Source organism: Homo sapiens, chromosome 6, assembly GCF_000001405.40.
Source record: "Homo sapiens chromosome 6, GRCh38.p14 Primary Assembly".
In the NCBI taxonomy this organism is placed as follows: Eukaryota; Metazoa; Chordata; class Mammalia; order Primates; family Hominidae; genus Homo; species Homo sapiens.
The window spans coordinates 7,931,240-7,951,529 of NC_000006.12; the positions used below are offsets into that span (position 1 = coordinate 7,931,240).

General features: G+C 41.5%; 1 long non-coding RNA gene across 1 annotated transcript in view, besides 1 other annotated feature; it reads right to left on the reverse strand.

Annotated features, from left to right (window-relative positions):
• Positions 1-20,290, reverse strand: part of BLOC1S5-TXNDC5 (BLOC1S5-TXNDC5 readthrough (NMD candidate)) — a 183,165-nt gene that overhangs the window by 49,990 nt on the left and 112,885 nt on the right. The gene's annotated exons all lie outside the window — the stretch shown is intronic.
• Positions 7,625-7,694: an enhancer, noted in NCBI's record as "active region_23953". NCBI's record gives its function as "activates an Ori minimal core promoter by ATAC-STARR-seq in GM12878 lymphoblastoid cells {active_cell/tissue: GM12878}" and the evidence as "EXISTENCE:reporter gene assay evidence [ECO:0000049][PMID:35858748]".

Here is a 20,290-nt window from a genome sequence, read left to right on the forward strand (position 1 = left end):
CATTGTGGAAGGCAGTGTGGCGATTCCTCAAGGATCTAGAACTAGAATTACCATTTGACCCAGCAATCTAATTACTTGGTATATATCCAAAGGATTATAAATCATGCTACTATAAAGACACATGCACATGTATGTTTATTGTGGGACTATTCACAATAGCACAGACTTGGAACCAACCCAAATGTCCATCAATGATAGACTGGATTAAGAAAATGTGGCACATACCCACCATGGAATACTATGCAGCCATAAAAAAAGATGAGTTCATGTCCTGTGCAGGGACATGGATGAAGCTGGAAACCATCATTCTCAGCAAACTATCACAAGGACAGAAAACCAAACACTGCATGTGCTCACTCGTAGGTGGGAACTGAACAATGAGAACACATGGACACAGGAAGGGGAACATCACACACCAGGGTCTGTCAGGGCGGTGGGGTGCTGGGGGAGGGATAGCATTAGGAGAAATACCTAATGTAAATGACGAGTTAATGGGTGTAGCACACCAACATGGCACATGTATACCTATGTATCAAACCTGTACGTTGTACACATGTACCCTAGAACTTAAAGTATATATACAAAAAAAAAGGCTTAGGGTAAAGTAAAAAAATAAATAAATAACAACAACAACAAAATATATACCTAGGCACATCTTATTCAATAGGTAGGTTTTAAAAATGTATGCATAGCATGGTGTCATTTGTAAAAACTAATTGGTCTGTGTTTTGGAAAGATGATCATCAGAACATTTACAATGATTCTTTGTGTATAATGATTCTTTGTGTGTAATGATGTTTCTGCTTTGTATTTTCTATTTTCTTTATATTAAAGATGAGTAATAAAACTATTTTCAGTGACAAAAATCTGCCTACTTCTTTGAATAGGGAGAGTTTATCCCATTTACATTTGTTTTCACAAATAATGTGTTCTGATTCATTCTTCATTTTTTATTTCTTTATTTTTTATATTATATAAATTTTCTTCCTTTGAAATAGTTTTTTATATAGCTAATTTGTAATTTGGCATCATTCACCTTTAAAAGCTTCAAGAACATCATTGAATATATATGTCTACCAATTCCAAGAATACAACATCCCAAGATTAAGAACTCTATTGAATATCTTTGAACTAGACGACACAATAGGCTCATTTTATTTCCTGTCACCTACCCTTTCTTCCTCTCTGTTTATGTTAGATTTTGGACAATATTTATTTTCAAGTTACTATTTTATGTTATTGTGAAGTAGGTTCACTGTGCACTGGTTCCCAACTTGCCTGAGTCCAGTGAGACAGAACATGCTCACATGCAGCAAGTTATACGAAGTGAGTTTATTACTTGCAGATAGGCAGCAAGAGGCAACATAAGCCTAGGCTCCCTTGTGAGCTGGTCTCCCAGGGCTCAGGAAAGCTGCTTGGAGAGATGGAGTCTTGAAGCTACATGCTTCACTTGCACCGCAGCTGAGGGGCCCTGAAAGGCAGCCCTCCCTGGATTATATATCTCAGGGGCAATGTGTCATACTAGGCTAAAGCTTTGAAAGACATCCTGCTTCTAGGGAGAGAGGCACAAAGCCTGGGCTGTCCTGGGCAGTTCCTCCATAACTCAAGGTGTTACAGTCTCTAGGAGGGACAGGAGCAAGGCCCAGGCTGCTTCAGGCAGTTCCCTCCATCTCAGAATACTGCATTCTCAGCACATTCTACAATTATTCTTGAGAACCATAAGCAAAAAGCGAAGAAGGTTGGGTTAATCCAAAGCCACCAGAAGAATTGCCCTGCAATTATATTAACATACATGTAGACCTTCAATATACATTTATTAATATTTGATTCTATGGTTACTTAAGTTAAATGTTCACTACAGTCCTCAACTATGACTTCACTGTTTTGAGGGTTTTACAGTGTGATTAATTACTTGGTTTACTACAGCAGTCCTTCTCAAACCTTAATATGCATATAAATCACATGGAGATCTTGATAGATTGCAGGTTCTGATTCATAGGTCTGGGGTGAAGCCTGAGTTTCTGGTTTTCTAACAAGCTCCCAGGTGATGAGATGCTGTTGCGCCGTGGTCCACAGTTTGAGCAGCAAGAGGTTACTTCTCTGAGAGCTCTTCCCTCCATGAATAATACATGGACTATTTATTCATGAGCCCTTGAATCTTTGAAAAGCTTTCTCTGTTCTTGACAGGTGAAAACCAGCTTGGCTATGTAAGGAACTTTGGGTCACAAAGTTTCTCCCTCAGAATTCTACAAATGTTGGTTGCTTCACTGATTTTAGCATCTATATTATTTGAGACCAATCTATATTTCCCTTTCCAATCTCTCTCTCTCTTTTTTTTTTTTTTTTTTGGTGTATGACCTTGTTTCAGGATGTTCTTTATTTATAAATAAATTTCAACTTTGATCAGGGTATGTTCAGTGTTTGACTCTCTTCATTTTGCCCAGTACCCAGTGAGCTATTTTAATGGAAATATTTAGGTTTCTAGGACTTTTATATGTCTTTAAATATTAATTTTTATTCCATTTGTTCTGGTGTTTTCTTCATAAATACCAATTATCCACATGTTTTATCTCCATCATATGGCCATGAAATACCCCATATTCTTTTCTCCTTTTTTTGGCATTAGTTTTTTGCATTATGGCATATATTTTTTTTCTCTGGGCTCTCTTCTGTATGACTGAAATAGTTCTTGGCAGGGTTGATTCTGCTCTACTGGTTCTGATGCATTTTGAAACTTTAGTGTTATCTGTACAGCTCTAAAACACTTCTTCAGTGCCCCCTTACTTCCCTTTATGGTTCTGCTTACGTCTCAACTGAATCTTCTGTTGACATGTCCTCTCACGGTTCATCTTACTTTAGGGAGATCATATTTCTAGAATGCCGTGGAGAGTAAAAAGCAGATGCTGTCTGAAATTTATTTTTTGCCAACAATATTTTTCAAAAATAGACTTCAAAAATATTTCAAAAATATTCCAGGAGTCTGGAATCTCTGAATCTTACTGGTGGGATGTCATGATAAAGAATCTTTTCCTAGACACCATGTTAGTTTTGTTCTTGCTTACTGATTATCGTTAATCCGTCGATCCGTTTGAGGACAGCGGACAGCATTTGAGCCACAGGCTGTGCCGCGTAGGGAACTTTGTGTCATTGCCCCTCTGTTCATAGTGAAGCCACTCTGCCTAGTAGCAGGCTTGTTGTGGCCAGGCCTCCAATCTGGCACATATGTATCTACCTGTTCAGCCTCGTTTTTCTATATAGCTTTCACTGTGTCAACAAAGACTGGCCTTTCTGTGAGCCCCCATCCAGGGATGCTGCTCCCACCAGGACCAGCAGCTTCTTGTTCAGTGTGGGGGGTCCTCTCTCTGCAGCCTCCCGCACAGTTTTACCAGGCTGCTCATCACCACAGTTAGGATCATCTTTACACTGGGAAAAGCGTAAGTTCCTCTCCCCAGAGCCACAGAACCACAGTTCTTCACTAATTGCAGTCATCTGGACCTCTGAGTTCCTGCATTGACCCCCAAAACAGGGATCCTGGCAGTCCACATACCTAGACTCCCTTCACCTGGAGCTTTCCAGGTATCTTAGTTCATTCGGGCTGCTGTAACAATACCACCAGACTGGGTGGCTTAGAAACAACAGAAAGTTATTGCTCACAGTTTTGGAGGCTGGGAAGTCCAAGGTCAAGGTGCTGGTAGATTCAGTTTCTAGGGAGGTCTTCTTGCTGTTTCACAGATGGTGCCTTCTTACTGTGTCCTCACATAGTGAAAAGGGGAAGGCAGCTCTCTGGCCTCTATTATAAGGGCACTAATCCCATTCACAAGCACTCCACCCTCATGATCTCACCACCTCCCAAAGACTCACCTCCTAATACCAGCACACTGGTGATTAGGTTTCAACATATGAATTTGGTAGGGACACAAACATTCAGACCATAGCCCCAGGTGAGTTTCGCAGCCCACTCTTTCCTCCAGAACTCTGCCCTCCAAGCCTAGAGATTCACAGGGAACAGAACTTTGCCCATCACTTCCCGGGAGGCTGTGTCATCCCTCAAGGTGGGACTTCTTTCTGCCGTTTTAATGATTTTCTTCCTTAGATTTCTGTATAAGTAGAGGCTTTTGCTAAATTTACTTTTCTTAGGTTATTTATGTAGAATTGGTTGTGGAATTAGTGTTTAGAAATAAATTGTGTCCCCAACCCAAACATCTTTACCTGAGAGACCAGAACATCTTTTTCAAATGAAAGAGCAGGCCGGGCATGGTGGCTCATGCCTGTAATCCCAGCACTTTGGGAGGCCAAGGCAGGTGGATTGCCTGAGGTCAGGAGTTCAAGACCAGTCTGGCCAACACAGTGAAACCCCATCTCTACTAAAAATACAAAAAAATTAGACAGGCGTGGTGGCATGCACCTGTAATCCCAGCTACTCGGGAGGCTGGGGCAGGGGAATTGCTTGAGCCAGGGGGGTGGAGGTTGCAGTGAGCCAAGATTGTGCCACTGCACTCCAGCCTGGGTGACACAATGAGACTCTGTCTCAAAATGAAAAAGTAAAAAAGCATAATTATCTTAGGTGTGGTGATTACAACGGTTTTTTTTCCCTTCCTTTTCTCTTAAACTATATGAACCTTCCAAATTGCACATTCTAAACCTGAAAATTTAGAATTTTTATTATTTTTGCATTGTAGAGTATATGGACTGTAAACTGGACACTGCCTTCACAATTAATCTATTTGTAAATTTATTTGCTTTAAATTAAGAAGTTTGAGCAAACTTTAATACCTTCACTAACCAGTGAAAGACTCCACAGTCCCTATTGTATTTTATTTAATAAATAGCTGATTTAGAAATATCCTACCACTTATTATATGTACACTAATTCAGAGTAAATTAACACCTGTCTCTGAAAAAAGGCAACTTCTCAGTGCTTGACATTCAAATGTCTAAAGATGCATCAGTTTATTCCTTTTTACTTCCGAAGGATACTGCATCACTCAACACATCTATTTCACTTAATGCACATATCCAAACTTTCTTTGTTTGAGTCAAAATTTCTGGTACCAAAGACAATAAAATTAATTTCAAAGTTACTTATAAACAGAATCTCTTATGAAAAACTTACAAAAATATTTTTAAAAATTTAACAAGTATATTTTCTCTTCTTCTCTCTTTGCTGTTTAGTGAAGTTATAACTCCATAGAAATAAAAATCTTTTTTTAGAGAATTTTAGTCCATATTTCTTTTTTTCTTTTTCTTTCTTTCTTTCTTTCTTTTTTTTTTTTTTTGAGACAGAGTTTCTCTCTTGTTGCCCAGGCTAGAGTACAATGGTGCAGTCTCGGCTCACTGCAACCTCTGCCTCCTGGGTTCAAGTGATTCTCCTGCCTTAGCCTCCCAAATAGCTGGTATTCCAGGTGCCCACCACCACGCCCAACTAATTTTTGTATTTTTAGTAGAGACAGATTTCCATCAGCTGGCCAGGCTGGTCTCAAACTCCTGACCTCAGATGATCCGCCACTGGTCTCCTGAAGTCCTAGGATTACAGGTATGAGCCACCGCACCCAGCCTTTATTCCATATTTCATCTCCTGTGGCTATGTCTTTGTTATCTTCTTTATCTTCTCTTTTTAATCCATATGTGTAAACATAAAAGGTTAAGAAACTTTAACAACTGATTGCATTCAGGTAACAAAATCAATGTAATATCCTAAGTCTTCAGACTTACTAATAATGGGAGAACTGTGAAGCCAAGTTCATAAAAAATCAGGTCTTGGATACCTAGTATTTACTCAGTTGTGCCTCCTTGCTCAGTGTTTAAACACAGAAGAATCTACAGCCTCACACACCTAGGTCAGACATAATATAAAATATACCACATGCATTTAATGATGGACAAACCTCAGTGATGTAAGTATAATTTTTCTGCTCAATTAAAAAAACTCTCTGCAATTTTTCATAAACATAAATGTGATTTTTGTTGCTCCAGCCAAACCCTGACACCCACAGCAGCAACCTCCCTTTTGTATCAAAGGAAGAGTCGTGGGGTTCTGAGGTGTGTTGTGTTGCTATGTTCAGCCGAGCAGCTCCAGGGACCCCACCAGAAAGAGCTACTCGTCGGCAGTGGTAGCAGCTACCACTGCTCACATCTGTGTCACTGAGGCTGGAGTCTGGAATTTCTGAGTTACAGGGCTGTCTCTGCCAAAGACTTGCTGGCAAAGTTTTTTGTCTGCAAAATAGACACAATAATGAGGACCTCATAAGGACTTTAAGAAGTGCCCTACACCCTGGAAACTTCTGTTGGCAGAAGTGAAGGGAGAAATTAACTCTTCCCCTAGGAAAAAAAATTTTCCATAGCAGTTCTAAACTTTGTCCCTTGTGTAGGACGATAAGCAGTTTTTAAATGCAAATAAGGCTAGTGATGGAATTTTACAGTCGAGCTCTAAAGACAAACCCAAATGGTGTCATCCTTGATATTCTTTTTTTTTTTTTTTAATTGAGACAGAGTCTCACTCTGTTGCCCAGGCTGGAGTGCAGTGGTGCAATCCCGGCTCACTGCAACCTCCGCCTCCCAGGTTCAAGAAATTCTTCTGCCTCAGCTTCCAGAGTAGCTGGAATTACAGGTGCGCACCACCACACCAGGCTAATTTTTTTATTTTTAGTAGAGACGGGGTTTCAACATGTTGGCCAGGCTGGTCTGGAACTCAAATGATCCGCTGGCCTCAGCCTCCCAAAGTTGCTGGATTACAGGCCTGAGCCACGCACCTGGCCCGAGATTCTCGAGTGGTCCTTCCTAGTCACACCATGGCAATCCTGTCCGGTGAGGCCAAAAGCGTGCCTGAGTTTAGCTGCAGGAGACACGGACTCTGAAGATGCTCTCTGTTATGGGCTATGTTGTGCCCCTCCCAAATTCAAAAGTAGAAGTCCTAACCCCCAGGACCTCAGGTTTTCTACAGAGATAATTAAGTTAAAGGGAGACAATTAGGGTGGGTGGGTCCTCAGCCAGTATGACTGGTGTCCTTACAAGTAGGGGATTAGGACACAGAATCACAGGGGGAAGACCACATGGGGACATGGGGAGAAGATGTCATCTACAAGCCAAGGAGAGAGGCCTCAGGAGAAACCAACCCTGGTGTTTGAGCTACCCAGTCTCGCGTACTTTGTTATGGCAGCCCCAGCAAAGTAAACCACCTCCAAATCTTCCCTCACTTGGCAATACCGAGCCTCCGAATATCCTTCCATTTTGGAAGGAGACGTGAATCCCAGGAATGAATCATTGCTGGCTCCAACTAGATGGCTTCTGCCTAGGGATACACGGCTCTTTGAAGGAGGCGCCTTTTTTTGTTGTTGTTGTTTGAGACGGAGTCTCACTCTGTCCCCCAGGCTGGAGTGCAGTGGCACGGAGGCACCTTTTTTCTGCTGTCCTGGTGAACTTCCTCTTTTTATTCCCCTCTCTGCACTTTTTTAACACAACACAAGACAAGACCGAGGAGCTAAGAGAGCTCCAGCACTGTCCTGCTGTCCAGAAGGAGAACAACCTGAAGTCCTGAACTGCTCAGAACTCTCTGCCGGTGACTCTCCAGTATGTGTCTCAGAGGTCCAAGTGACACACTTTTTACACAAAGTATAGTAAAGCCATTTCTGGTAGCCACCAACTAGGCACATTCTGTGAGTTAGGCAGTTTTTGCCATTTGTAGAATAAAGGAAGTAAACCTTCCTTTGGTTCACATTTTAATCCACAGTCAGTCATGTCAGCCTTTCCTGTTCATCTAGGAAACATCTTGTCAGCTGACACTTATTCCAACATCAGGAAGCTTCTTCTGCTTTGCACTGTGAGCTGACAGTATCTGCTTATTATATACTGTTGTTACATTTATTTGATGGGATGCTTCTCCAGATGTGGAATTATTCATTGTCAAAGGTGCTCAGCCTTGCAGATCTTGATAGTGGTTATAGTAAATGTTGTCTTCAGATTGGGAAATAATCACTTGGTCCCCCATAGTTATCAGCTGGTGATATAAGTGCCCCCCAGCCTTGTGGACTAAGGGGAATTTGCATGGCAGGCCGGCGTTTGCTCCATGGGCTGTCAGGAGCACTTCTACCCAAGCTCACACTGGGCCTCCACGCAGGAACAAGACTCCTGACAGGGGCTCTACTGACAGGGCCCAGTCACAGCACCCACGCCTGATCTCTCAGGGCCTCCGGAGCTCCTGAACTTCTCTCTGACTCACTTGCAGCAGCAACAATTTTGACATTATATTTTTGATATTACTTTTAAACAAGCAAACCAATTAGAATGTGCTTTGAGGATTTACTAAGCTCACAGCAAAATCTGTTTTGTTTTCACAGCTGTGCTCACACGCTTGAATGATGCCATTTCGAGGGAGATAGCATGATGTAATGTTGACGACAGCACAATTGTCATCCTGCTAAAGAGTATTGTGAACTCAATGGAAACGAAAAGTGAGGCTTTCATCTGTAAGCTTAGATCCCATTTATGGCAATCATCTCAACCTCTGCGCAGGGCTCACAGTGGAAATTACTACAAGCTGCCGAACACAGATGACATCATCTTGCCACCCACAAATGTTATGGGTTTGACAGCCCAGAAGATGGCATCCCCTGGGAGGAATACAGCTCTAACTAAGTTGACAAGTTTTGTGTGTTTGAGAGGAAATAGTTTCATAAAAGTTGTTCTCCTCTCCGTTTTCTCTTTGGGTTTGGCAACTGCCACTACAATGAAATTATGGTCACGACAAGGAGCCATTAGCTTTCCCCAGAGCCATGAGCCACAGCTCCCTCTGCGTGGAACGATGTGAGTTTGCAGCCCTTTCCTGTTAGAGCTTTCACAACTTGGAGCTCTGGAGGCTGAGATTTAAACCAGTGCCTATGCTATTGTGCTGTTACTCCTTTGCACTTCTCTCTGCTGTACTGCTAATCACCAGGGCTTTTCAGTTAGGCCACCAGAGCTCACGCATGCCACACAGCTACTGAAGTTGTCATGGATCATAAAGACAGTGTTTCCTGACTGCTAATTCTGCAACTGCTCTCCTGTGTTTGATGGAAGGCTGGACATTTTTTTTTTTTAATGCTCAAATTATCTTCCATTAAAGGACACACACCTTCTTTACATGACCTGGAGCTGTTTCTACCTGCAGCTCTGGAGTCACGGTCATCCCAGATATGCTATTATATCCATATTATGGAACCATGGCTTTCTAGTAATCATAAAAGTGGAAATAAAAGAAAAAGAGGCAGATTCCACAGAAAACAAAAAGAAAAAAGAAGAAAGAGAGAGAGAAAGAAAATGAGAGAGAAGAAAAAAGAAACGAAGAGAAAGAATGAAAGAAAGAAGAAAGAGAAAGAAGAAAGAAAGAAAGAAAGAAAGAAAGAAAGAAAGAGAGAGAGAGAGAAAGAAAGAAAGAAAGAAAGAAAGAATGAACGGAAGGAAGGAAGGAAGGGGCGGCGGGCAATAATAGAAGCACTAAAGTCATAAGCCACCCTGGATATAAATAAGGCACCAAGAGATAAAAAAAAAAATTATCTGGTCTCTTATTTATTAAATCTCAGCACTTGGTCTGGCCAAAATAGGGTTAGTGGAAAAACTGGTTTTAATTACATTTTAATCATCAGTGTCTTTCTTCACTATCCACAACTCTATTGGTGGCTTTAAGACCAATGTATTTCAATATCAACCACCCCCCAAAATGGGGCTTAGGGGCAACTGGCATTTCTGAACCCCCGCACTAAGTCTTCTCTGCCACAGCGCCACCTCTGGTAAGGAAGACTATCGACTCGCCATAGTTTGGAATGACTGGGCGGGCGCTGTTCCCCCAATCTTTACACCTTCAGTGTGTCTCATCACCCTGGGGAATATTTGGGGAATGCTGAATCCACAGGATCCCTTACTGCTCACAGAAAGAGTGTCAACAACACAATGTACTATTTAGAAAGAAAAAGGACTGAAAATATTGAGCCTTTAAACAATCTTCTCTCCCTCCTTGCTGCATGCAGAATGGATTCCGTCACCTTCCGGGCCCGGCCCTGGGCTCTCACCCATCTTTGTGATCTGATTATCATCCTGTTACAGCAGTGAACTCAATATACCTTGTGTTAAATTAAAATAGAAGTGTTTTCCCCACTACAATGCAAATTCCTTGGGAGCAGCAATCACCACTTGCTAGTCTTTATATTCCCATACAAAGAAACTTAGTCCATTTTCTGTTGCTTATAACAGAATACCTGAAACTGGGTAATTTATAGAGAAAGGGAATTTATTTCTTACAGTTATAAAAGCTGAGAAGTCTAAGGTCAAGGTGCTGCATCTGGTGAGGGCCTTCTTGCTGGTGGGGACTCTCTGCAGAATCCCGAGGCAACACAAGTCATCATGTAGTGAGGGGGCTGAGTGTGCTAGCTTACATCTCTCTTCTTCTGATAAAGCCATCAGTACCGCTCCTATGACAACCCAATTAGTCTATTAACCCACTGATCCATTAATCCATGAATGGATTAACCCATTTATGAGGGCAGAGCCCTCATGACCCAATAACCTCTTAAAGGCCCCACCTCTCAGTACTGCCACCTTAGAGATTAAGTTTCAACGTAATCTCAATAGAAGAGACAAACATGCAAACCATAGCAGAACCTGCTCAGTAAATGTTTGTTGTACTGAATTATGCTCTCGAAAATATTACCAGATCTGAGGCTCATAGATTTAGCCTGAATAAATCTACTGGCTCATAAATTTACCCTGAATAAAACTACTAGAGCATGTGTTTTATTCATGAACTTAATATCCATATTCAGGTACGCACCATTCCTTATATAAAATCTGGTATATCAGAATTTTAAGATTTTCAAAAGTTAGTTCCTGTATATTACATAGCATGTTAACACTGTGTACATTTACAAAAAGTGTAAGTACAGAAATAAAAACTAGCCTCACATTAGCGAAGATTATGTTTTATGATCAAATAAGCTTGCTGAAAATGTATGAAAAAAAGTCTTTGCTTTCAAAACTTTTTGGATTTCAGAATAATGAAGAATTGTGGAACTACAGCGGAAGAAAAAATGAGTTACTTCTTTTACATTAAACTTCTATAACTGATTTAATCTTCCTTAAAAAACATCCTATTTTATTTCTGTACACTTTCATTTTAAAATTACAAGTAATCTATTAAAACATGCTCATTACTTAAAATTCTACCAATGGAGATAAAGCAAAGTCCTCTTAGATGGCCCCCCTTCTCACCTCAATTTTCTTTCCACAGGAATCCCTTGGCCTCCTGGTTGCTCCACAGGCACTCATCAAGGCACGGAGCAACACCTTGTGTTTATAAAGTCCCCTCGCAAAGCACCCTCACCTCATCTTCCCCCATGACCTGTCCTCACTGCATTCCTTGGAGGTCTATAAAGCAAATTGTGTTATTCTCCATGTTGAGAGATGAGAAAAATTAGAGTTAAGCACATCAAGATTCTTGCTTCCTGTGATAGTGCTAACAAGTGGAAAAGAAGGAAATAGAACCCAAATATTCTGACCTTCAGCATTCTTTATGTTTTCTGTCATCACAACCCCAAATTCTGCTATCATGTGTATTCCCAATACCATGTCTGCAGCCAGGGGTCATTGGTGTATAAACAACTTTTCATCTAAAAGGGTGATATGGGTTGGCTCTGTGTCCCCACCCAAATCTCATCTTGTAGCTCCCATAATTCCCACATGTTGTGGGAGAGACCCAGTGGGAGATGATCGAATCATGGAGGTGGGTTTTTCCCATGCTGCTCTCTTGATAGTGAACGGGTCTCATAAGATCTGATGGTTTTAAAAACAGGAGTTTCTCTGCACAAGCTTGCTCTTTGCCTGCTGCCATCCACATAAGATGTGACTTTGCTCCTCCTCACCTTCCACCATGATTGTGAGGCTTCCCCAGCCACGTGGAACTGTGAGTCCAATTAAACCTCTTTTTTTTTTATTATTATACTTTAAGTTTTAGGGTACATGTGCACAACGTGCAGGTTTGTTACATATGAATACATGTGCCATGTTGGTGTGCTGCATCCATTAACTCATCATTTACATTAGGTATATCTCCTAATGCTATCCCTCCCCCTTCCCCCACCCCACAACAGGCCCCGGTGTGTGATGTTCTCCTTCCTGTGTCCAAGTGTTCTCATTGTTCAATTCCCACCTATAAGTGAGAACATGTGGTGTTTGGTTTTTCGTCCTTGCGATAGTTTGCTGAGAATGATGGTTTCCAGCTTCATCCATGTCCCTATAAAGGACATGAACTCACCATTTTTTATGGCTGCATAGTATTCCATGGTGTATATGTGCCACATTTTCTTAATCCAGTCTATCATTGTTGGACATTTGGGTTGGTTCCAAGTCTTTGCTATTGTGAATAGTGCCACAATAAACATACATGTGCATGTGTCTTTATAGCAGCATGATTTATAATCCTTTGGGTATATACTCAGTAATGGGATGGCTGGGTCAAATGGTATTTCTAGTTCTAGATCCCTGAGGAATCACCACACTGACTTCCACAATGGTTGAACTAGTTTACAGTCCCACCAACAGTGTAAAAGTGTTCCTATTTCTCCACATCCTCTCCAGCACCTGTTGTTTCCTGACTTTTTAATGATCACCATTCTAACTGGTGTGAGATGGTATCTCATTGTGGTTTTGATTTGCATTTCTCTGATGGCCAGTGATGATGAGCATTTTTTCATGTGTCTTTTGGCTTCATAAATGTCTTCTTTTGAGAAGTGTCTGTTCATATCCTTCACCCACTTTTTGATGGGGTTGTTTTTTTTCTTGTGAATTTGTTTGAGTTCTTTGTAGATTCTGGATATTAGCCCTTTGTCAGATGAGTAGATTGCAAAAATTTTCTCCCATTCTGTAGGTTGCCTGTTCACTCTGATGGTAGTTTCTTTTGCCGTGCAGAAGCTCTTTAGTTTAATTAGATCCCATTTGTCAATTTTGGATTTTGTTGCCATTGCTTTTGGTATTTCAGACATGAAGTCCTTGCTCACACCTATGTCCTGAATGGTATTGCCTAGGTTTTCTTCTAGGGTTTTTATGGTTTTAGATCTAACATTTAAGTCTTTAATCCATCTTGAATTAATTTTTGTATAAGGTGTAAGGAAGGGATCCAGTTTCAGCTTTCTATATATGGCTAGCCAGTTTTCCCAGCACCATTTATTAAATAGGGAATCCTTTCCCCATTTCTTGTTTTTGTCAGGTTTGTCAAAGATCAGATGGTTGTAGATATGTGGCATTATTTCTGAGGGCTCCGTTCTGTTCCATTGGTCTATATATCTGTTTTGGTACCAGTACCATGCTGTTTTGGTTACTGCAGCCTTGTAGTATAGTTTTAAGTCAGGTAGCGTGATGCCTCCAGCTTTGTTCTTTTGGCTTAGGATTGACTTGGTAATGCAGACTCTTTTTTAGTTCTTTAAAGTAGTTTTTTTCCAATTCTGTGAAGAAAGTCATTGGTAGCTTGATGGGGATGGCATTGAATCTATAAATTACCTTGGGCAGTATGGCCATTTTCATGATATTGATTCTTCCTACCCATGAGCATGGAATGTTCTTCCATTTGTTTATATCCTCTTTTATTTCCTTGAGCAGTGGTTTGTAGTTCTCCTTGAAGAGGTCCTTCACATCCCTTGTAAGTTGGATTCCTAGGTATTTTATTCTCTTTGAAGCAATTGTGAATGGGAGTTCACTCATAATTTGGCTCTCTGTTTGTCTGTTATTGGTGTATAAGAATGCTTGTGAATTTTGCACATTGATTTTTGTATCCTGAGACTTTGCTGAAGTTGCTTATCAGCTTAAGGAGATTTTGGGCTGAGACAATGGGGTTTTCTAGATATACAATCTTGTCATCTGCAAACAGGGACAAATTGACTTCCTCATTTCCTAATTGAATACCCTTTATTTCCTTCTCCTGCCTGATTGCCCTGGCCAGAACTTCCAACACTATGTTGAATAGGAGTGGTGAGAGAGGGCATCCCTGTCTTGTGCCAGTTTTCAAAGGGAATGCTTCCAGTTTTTGCCCATTCAGTATGATATTGGCTGTGGGTTTGTCATAGATAGCTCTTATTATTTTGAGATGTGTCCCATCAATACCTAGTTTATTGAGAGTTTTTAGCATGAAGGGCTGTTGAATTTTGTCAAAGGCCTTTTCTGCATCTATTGAGATAATCATGTGGTTTTTGTCATTGGTTCTGTCTATATGCTGGATTACGTTTATTGATTTGTGTATGTTGAACCAGCCTTGCATCCCAGGGATAAAGGCCACTTGATCATGGTGGATAAGCTTTTTGATGTGCTGCTGGATTCGGTTTGCCAGTATTTTATTGAGGATTTTTGCATCGATGTTCATCAGGGATATTGGTATAAAATTCTCTTTTTTTGTTGTGTCTCTGCCAGGCTTTGGTATCAGGATGATGCTGGCCTCATGAAATGAGTTAGGGAGGATTCCCTCTTTTTCTATTGATTGGAATAGTTTCAGAAGGAATGGTACCAGCTCCTCCTTGTACCTCTGGTAGAATTCGGCTGTGAATCCATCTGGTCCTGGACTTTTTTTGGTTGGTAAGCTATTAATTATTGCCTCAATTGCAGAGCCTGTTATTGGTCTATTCAGAGATTCAACTTCTTCCTGGTTTAGTCTTGGGAGGGTGTATGTTTCAAAGAATTTATCCATTTCTTCTAGATTTTCAAGTTCATTTGCATAGAAGTGTTTATAGTATTCTCTGATGGTAGTTTGTATTTCTGTGGGATCGGTGGTGATATCCCCTTTATCATTTTTTTATTGCGTCTATTTGATTCTTCTCTCTTTTCTTCTTTATTAGTCTTGCTAGCAGTCTATCAATTTTGTTAATCTTTTCAAAAAACCAGCTCCTGGATTCATTGATTTTTTCAAGGGTTTTTTGTGTCTCTATTTCCTTCAGTTCTTCTCTGATCTTAGTTATTTCTTGCCTTCTGCTAGCTTTTGAATGTGATTGCTCTTGCTTCCCTAGTTCTTTTAATTGTGATGTTACGGTGTCGATTTTAGATCTTTCTTGCTTTCTCTTGTGGGCATTTAGTGCTATATATTTCCCTCTACACACTGCTTTAAATGTGTCCCAGAGATTCTGGTATGTTGTGTCTTTGCTCTCGTTGGTTTCAAAGAACATCTTTATTTCTGCCTTCATTTTGTTATGTACCCAGTAGTCATTCAGGGGCAGGTTGCTCAGTCTCCATGTAGTTGAATGGTTTTGAGTGAGTTTCTTAATCCTGAGTTCTAGTTTAATTGCACTGTGGTCTGAGAGACAGTTTGTTATAATTTCTGTTCTTTTACATTTGCTGAGGAGTGCTTTACTTCCAACTATGTGGTCAATTTTGGAATAAGTGCAGTGTGGTGCTGAGAAGAATGTGTATTCTGTTGATTTGGGGTGGAGAGTTCCGTAGATGTCTATTAGGTCTGCTTGGTGCAGAGCTGAGTTCAATTCCTGGATATCCTTGTGAATTTTCTGTCTCATCGATCTGTCTAATGTTGACAGTGGGGTGTTAAAGTCTCCCATTATTATTGTGTGGGAGTCTAATTCTCTTTGTAGGTCTCTAAGGACTTGTTTTATGAATCTCGGTGCTCCTGTATTGGGTGCATATATATTTAGGATAGTTAGCTCTTCTTGTTGAATTGATCCCTTTACCATTATGTAATGGCCTTCTTTGTCTCTTTTGATCTTTGTTGGTTGAAAGTCTGTTTTATCAGAGACTAGGATTGCAACCCCTGTCTTTTTTCGTTTTCCATTTTCTTGGTAGATCTTCCTCCATCCCTTTATTTTGAGCCTACGTGTGTCTCTGCACGTGAGATGGGTTTCCTGAATACAGCACACTGATGGGTCTTGACTCTTTATCCAATTTGCCAGTCTGTGTCTTTTAATTGGAGCATTTAGCCCATTTACATTTAAGGTTAATATTGTTATGTGTGAATTTGATCCTGTCATTATGATGTTAGCTGGTTATTTTGCTCGTTAGTTGATGCAGTTTCTTCCTAGCCTTGATGGTCTTTACAATTTGGCATGTTTTTGCAGTGGCTGGTACCAGTTGTTCCTTTCCATGTTTAGTGCTTCCTTCAGGAGCTCTTGTAGGGCAGGCCTGGTGGTGACAAAATGTCTCAGCATTTGCTTGTCTGTAAAGGATTTTATTTCTCCTTCACTTATGAAGCTTAGTTTGGCTGGATATGAAATTCTGGGTTGAAAATTCTTTTCTTTAAGAATGTTGAATATTGGCCCCCACTCTCTTCTGGCTTGTAGAGTTTCTGCCAAGAGATCAGCTGTTAGTCTGATGGGCTTCCTTTTGTGGGTAACCTGACCTTTCTCTCTGGCTGCCCTTAACATTTTTTCCTTCATTTCAACTTTGGTGAATCTGACAATTATGTGTCTTGGAGTTGCTCTTCTCGAGGAGTATCTTTGTGGCATTCTCTGTATTTCCTGAATTTGAATGTTGCCCTGCGTTGCTAGATTGGGGAAGTTCTCCTGGATAATATCCTGCAGAGTGTTTTCCAACTTGGGTCCATTCTCCCTGTCACTTTCAGGTACACCAATCAGATGTAGATTTGGTCTTTTCACATAGTCCCATATTTCTTGGAGGCTTTGTTCATTTCTTTTTCTTCTTTTTTCTCTAAACTTCTCTTCTCGCATCATTTCATTCATTTGATCTTCCATCGCTGATAAACTTTCTTCCAGTTGATCGAATCGGCTACTGAAGCTTGTGCATTTGTCATGTAGTTCTCGTGCCATGGTTTTCAGCTCCATCAGGTCCTTTAGGGACTTCTCTGCATTGGTTATTCTAGTTAGCCATTCGTCTAATCTTTTTTCAAGGTTTTTAACTTCTTTGCCATGGGTTCGAACTTCCTCCTTTAGCTCGGAGAAGTTTGATCATCTGAAGCCTTCTTCCCTCAACTTGTCAAAGTGATTCTCCTTCCAGCTTTGTTCCATTGCTGGTGAGGAGCTGCGATCCTTTGGAGGAGGAGAGGCACTCTGATTTTTAGAATTTTCAGTTTTTCTGTTCTGTTTTTTCCCCATCTTTGTGGATTTATCTACGTTTGGTCTTTGATGATGGTGACGTACAGATGGGATTCTGGTGTGGATGTCCTTTCTGTTTGTTAGTTTTCCTTCTAATAGTCAGAACCCTCAGCTGCAGGTCTGTTGGAGTTTGCCAGACGTCCACTCTAGATCCTGTTTGCCTGGGTGTCAGCAGCAGAGGCTGCAGAACAGTGAATATTGGTGAACAATGTTGCTGCCTGATCGTTCCTCTGGAGGTTTTGTCTCAGAGGAATACCCGGCCATGTGAGGTGTCAGTCTGCCCCTACTCGGGGTTGCCTCCCAGTTAGGCTACTCAGGGGTCAGGGACCCACTTGAGGAGGCAGTCTGTCCGTTCTCAGATTTCAAGCTGCATGCTGGGAGAACCACTACTGTCTTCGAAGCTGTCAGACAGGGACACTTAAGTCTGCAGAGGTTTCTGCTGCCTTTTGTTTGGCTATGCCCTGCCCCCAGAGGTGGAGTCTACAGAGGCAGGCAGGCCTCCTTGAGCTGCGGTGGGCTCCACCCAGTTCGAGCTTCCTGGCCGCTTTGTTTACCTACTCAAGCCTCAGCAATGGCAGGTGCCCCTCCGCCAGCCTCGCTGCTGCCTTGCAGTTTGATCTCAGACTGCTGTGCTAGCAATGAGCGAGGCTCTGTGGGTGTAGGACCCCCTGAGCCATGCATGGGATATAATCTCCTGGTGTGCCGTTTGCTAAGACCACTGGGAAAGCGCAGTATTAGGGTGGGAGTGACCCGATTTTCCAGGTGCCATCTGTCACCCCCTTCCTTGGCTAGCAAAGGGAATTCCCTGACCCCTTGCGCTTCCCAGGTGAGGAGATGCCTCACCCTGCTTCGGCTCACACTCGGTGCACTGCACCCACTGTCCGACAGTCCCCAGTGAGATGAACCCGGTACCTCAGTTGGAAATGCAGAAATCATTCGTCTTCTGTGTCGCTCATGCTGGGAGCTGTAGACTGGAGCTGTTCCTATTCGGCCATCTTGGAACCCAACCTCTTTCTTTTGTAAATTGTCCAGTCTCGGGTATGTCTTTATCAGCACATAAAAACAGGCTAATACAAAGGAGGTCTTCTCAGATCAATGTAGGCCAAGTTATACAGGTGTGCTGGGGACCTCCCTGCTTCCCCCACCCCTTTCCCGATTTAGCCTGGGAGCTTCACAAATTCCTGGGAGTTCCAAAACACTTCACCAACAGAGATTTGCCAGATTTCAATAACAACCCATCCTATCCCTCAGCCACCCCTTAACTGGACAGTCCGTTAGTGCTAAAGTCACCTTTGCATTCTCACAAATGTGTGCAATTTACCAATTTTGGTTCTCCAAAATCACCTTTCTCAGGATCATATTTGTATTATGACTTTCAACAAAGAGTGCACATACCTTCACATATTGTCTGTTTGTTTGTCTTTAAACTGAATTCTAAGAGGAAGGAGGAGGCACTCTTATTCTTCTGCTATAGATAAGCTACATAAGCTTCCATGGCTTATAGTCTGTGTTTTCACATTCCAGAAACACATCTGCTTGGCAATACAGAAAAGCCTTTCCCATTCAAGAAAGAAGTTTTCTAAACATATTCTGAAGCATAAACATCTTCAAATATAACATCTTTGAGGCAAGCAGAGAAAGTTCCCGGGAACAAAGGGTTATCATGAGAGATGAGAGCTTATTTTATTAATCCGGTATCACATACAGTCTGTTTAAAAGAGATTAGTACTTATTAAGTGAATCTGGTATCAGTAGCTGCCCTAAATAGAACACATTATTTGGCAAGAGCTCTTAAGGAACTTGTCCTACCTACACAAAAGCAAAGAAAGAGTAGTATTAGCCATAGTGTTCTTAGGAAATGGTTTCTCATTTTAATTATCTGTATTTTAGAATAAGTGCAATGGTGTAGAGTATTTGAATAAGCTATTTGCCGTCATCAAAAGTAATCAATCCCTTGCAATCATTTTGCTTTTTTTAGAATGGATAATCACTTTCTTATACAATAGGGGTGACTTTTAAAAAATCTTTTATTAAAATATTTTAGCTTTTTCTTGGAGGAGATGAGGATAGAAAAGGACAGGTAGCTTTTTCACTGGCAATTTATTTTATTTTATTTTATTTATTTATTTTGTTTTGAGATGGAGTCTCACTCTGTCACCAGGCTGGAGTGCAGTGTTGCGATCTCGGCTCACTGCAACCTCTGCCTCCCAGGTTCAAGCGATCCTCCTGCCCCAGTCCCCTTGTAGCTGGGATCATAGGCACGTGGCACCATGCCCAGCTAATTTTTGTATTTTTAGTAGAGATGGGGTTTTGCCATGTTGGCCAGGCTGGTCTCAAACTCCTGACCTCAGGTGATCCACCTGCCTCGGCCTCCCAAAGTGCTGGGATTACAGGCGTGAGCCACCGTGCCTGGCCTCATTGGGAATTTTAGAAGAAGCACTACTGTATATAATTTGGTGTGTTCTAGAAAACATTGTTATAATTCTATTACTAGACCAACTCTTATTCAACTAGAAATGATGGAGAAAATTATTGTTTTAAAATATTCCCAAACATTATTAGTTCTTTGCTTAAATCCCATCTTTAAATAGGAATGGGTTTCACTTTCTCCTGTCTCTGATCATTCTTAGCACTAAGCAGGGCTAACAAGGATTTAAATGGCAGATGAAAGAAGGGAGGTCTGAAGAGGTAAACTGAGGCCTGGTCAGAGCAGCAGGGTTGGTTTGACAGAAAGGAGCCAGATTTGGGAAACTCCCAAGTGACGTCAATAAACGACAGTGACCAGGTGGGGTTGAGGGAAAGGAAGGGGCTAAGCAGTATTCTGAAGTTTCTAGATTGAAAGCCACTCTGAATAAATAACTTAGCTTTACTCAGGAAGATGGGAAAGAGGGAAAAGGAAAAAGGCAAGTGAGAAGCGAAAGGACAGAAGAAAGTTGTGTGGGAGGCTTGAGTGATGGAGCTGAGAGTGGGCGCTCTGACTTGGAGAGTCCCTAGTTCCACAACTGAAGGGTGCAATGTTTTGTCCAGTCAGCTCTGAGCCCATCCATCGAACTCCTCACTAATTCTCAGAGCTCCTTCTCTCCTCTCCATCCTCGGCATCCGTGGCCTTGGTTGGGGGCCTTCAGCTTCCCTTGCCTGACTTTCCAGCTACATCCTTCCCCTAACCGATCTCCTACCATTCAGTCTTACCTACTGCCAATCCTTTAAATTCTAATTCCAATTTCATACCA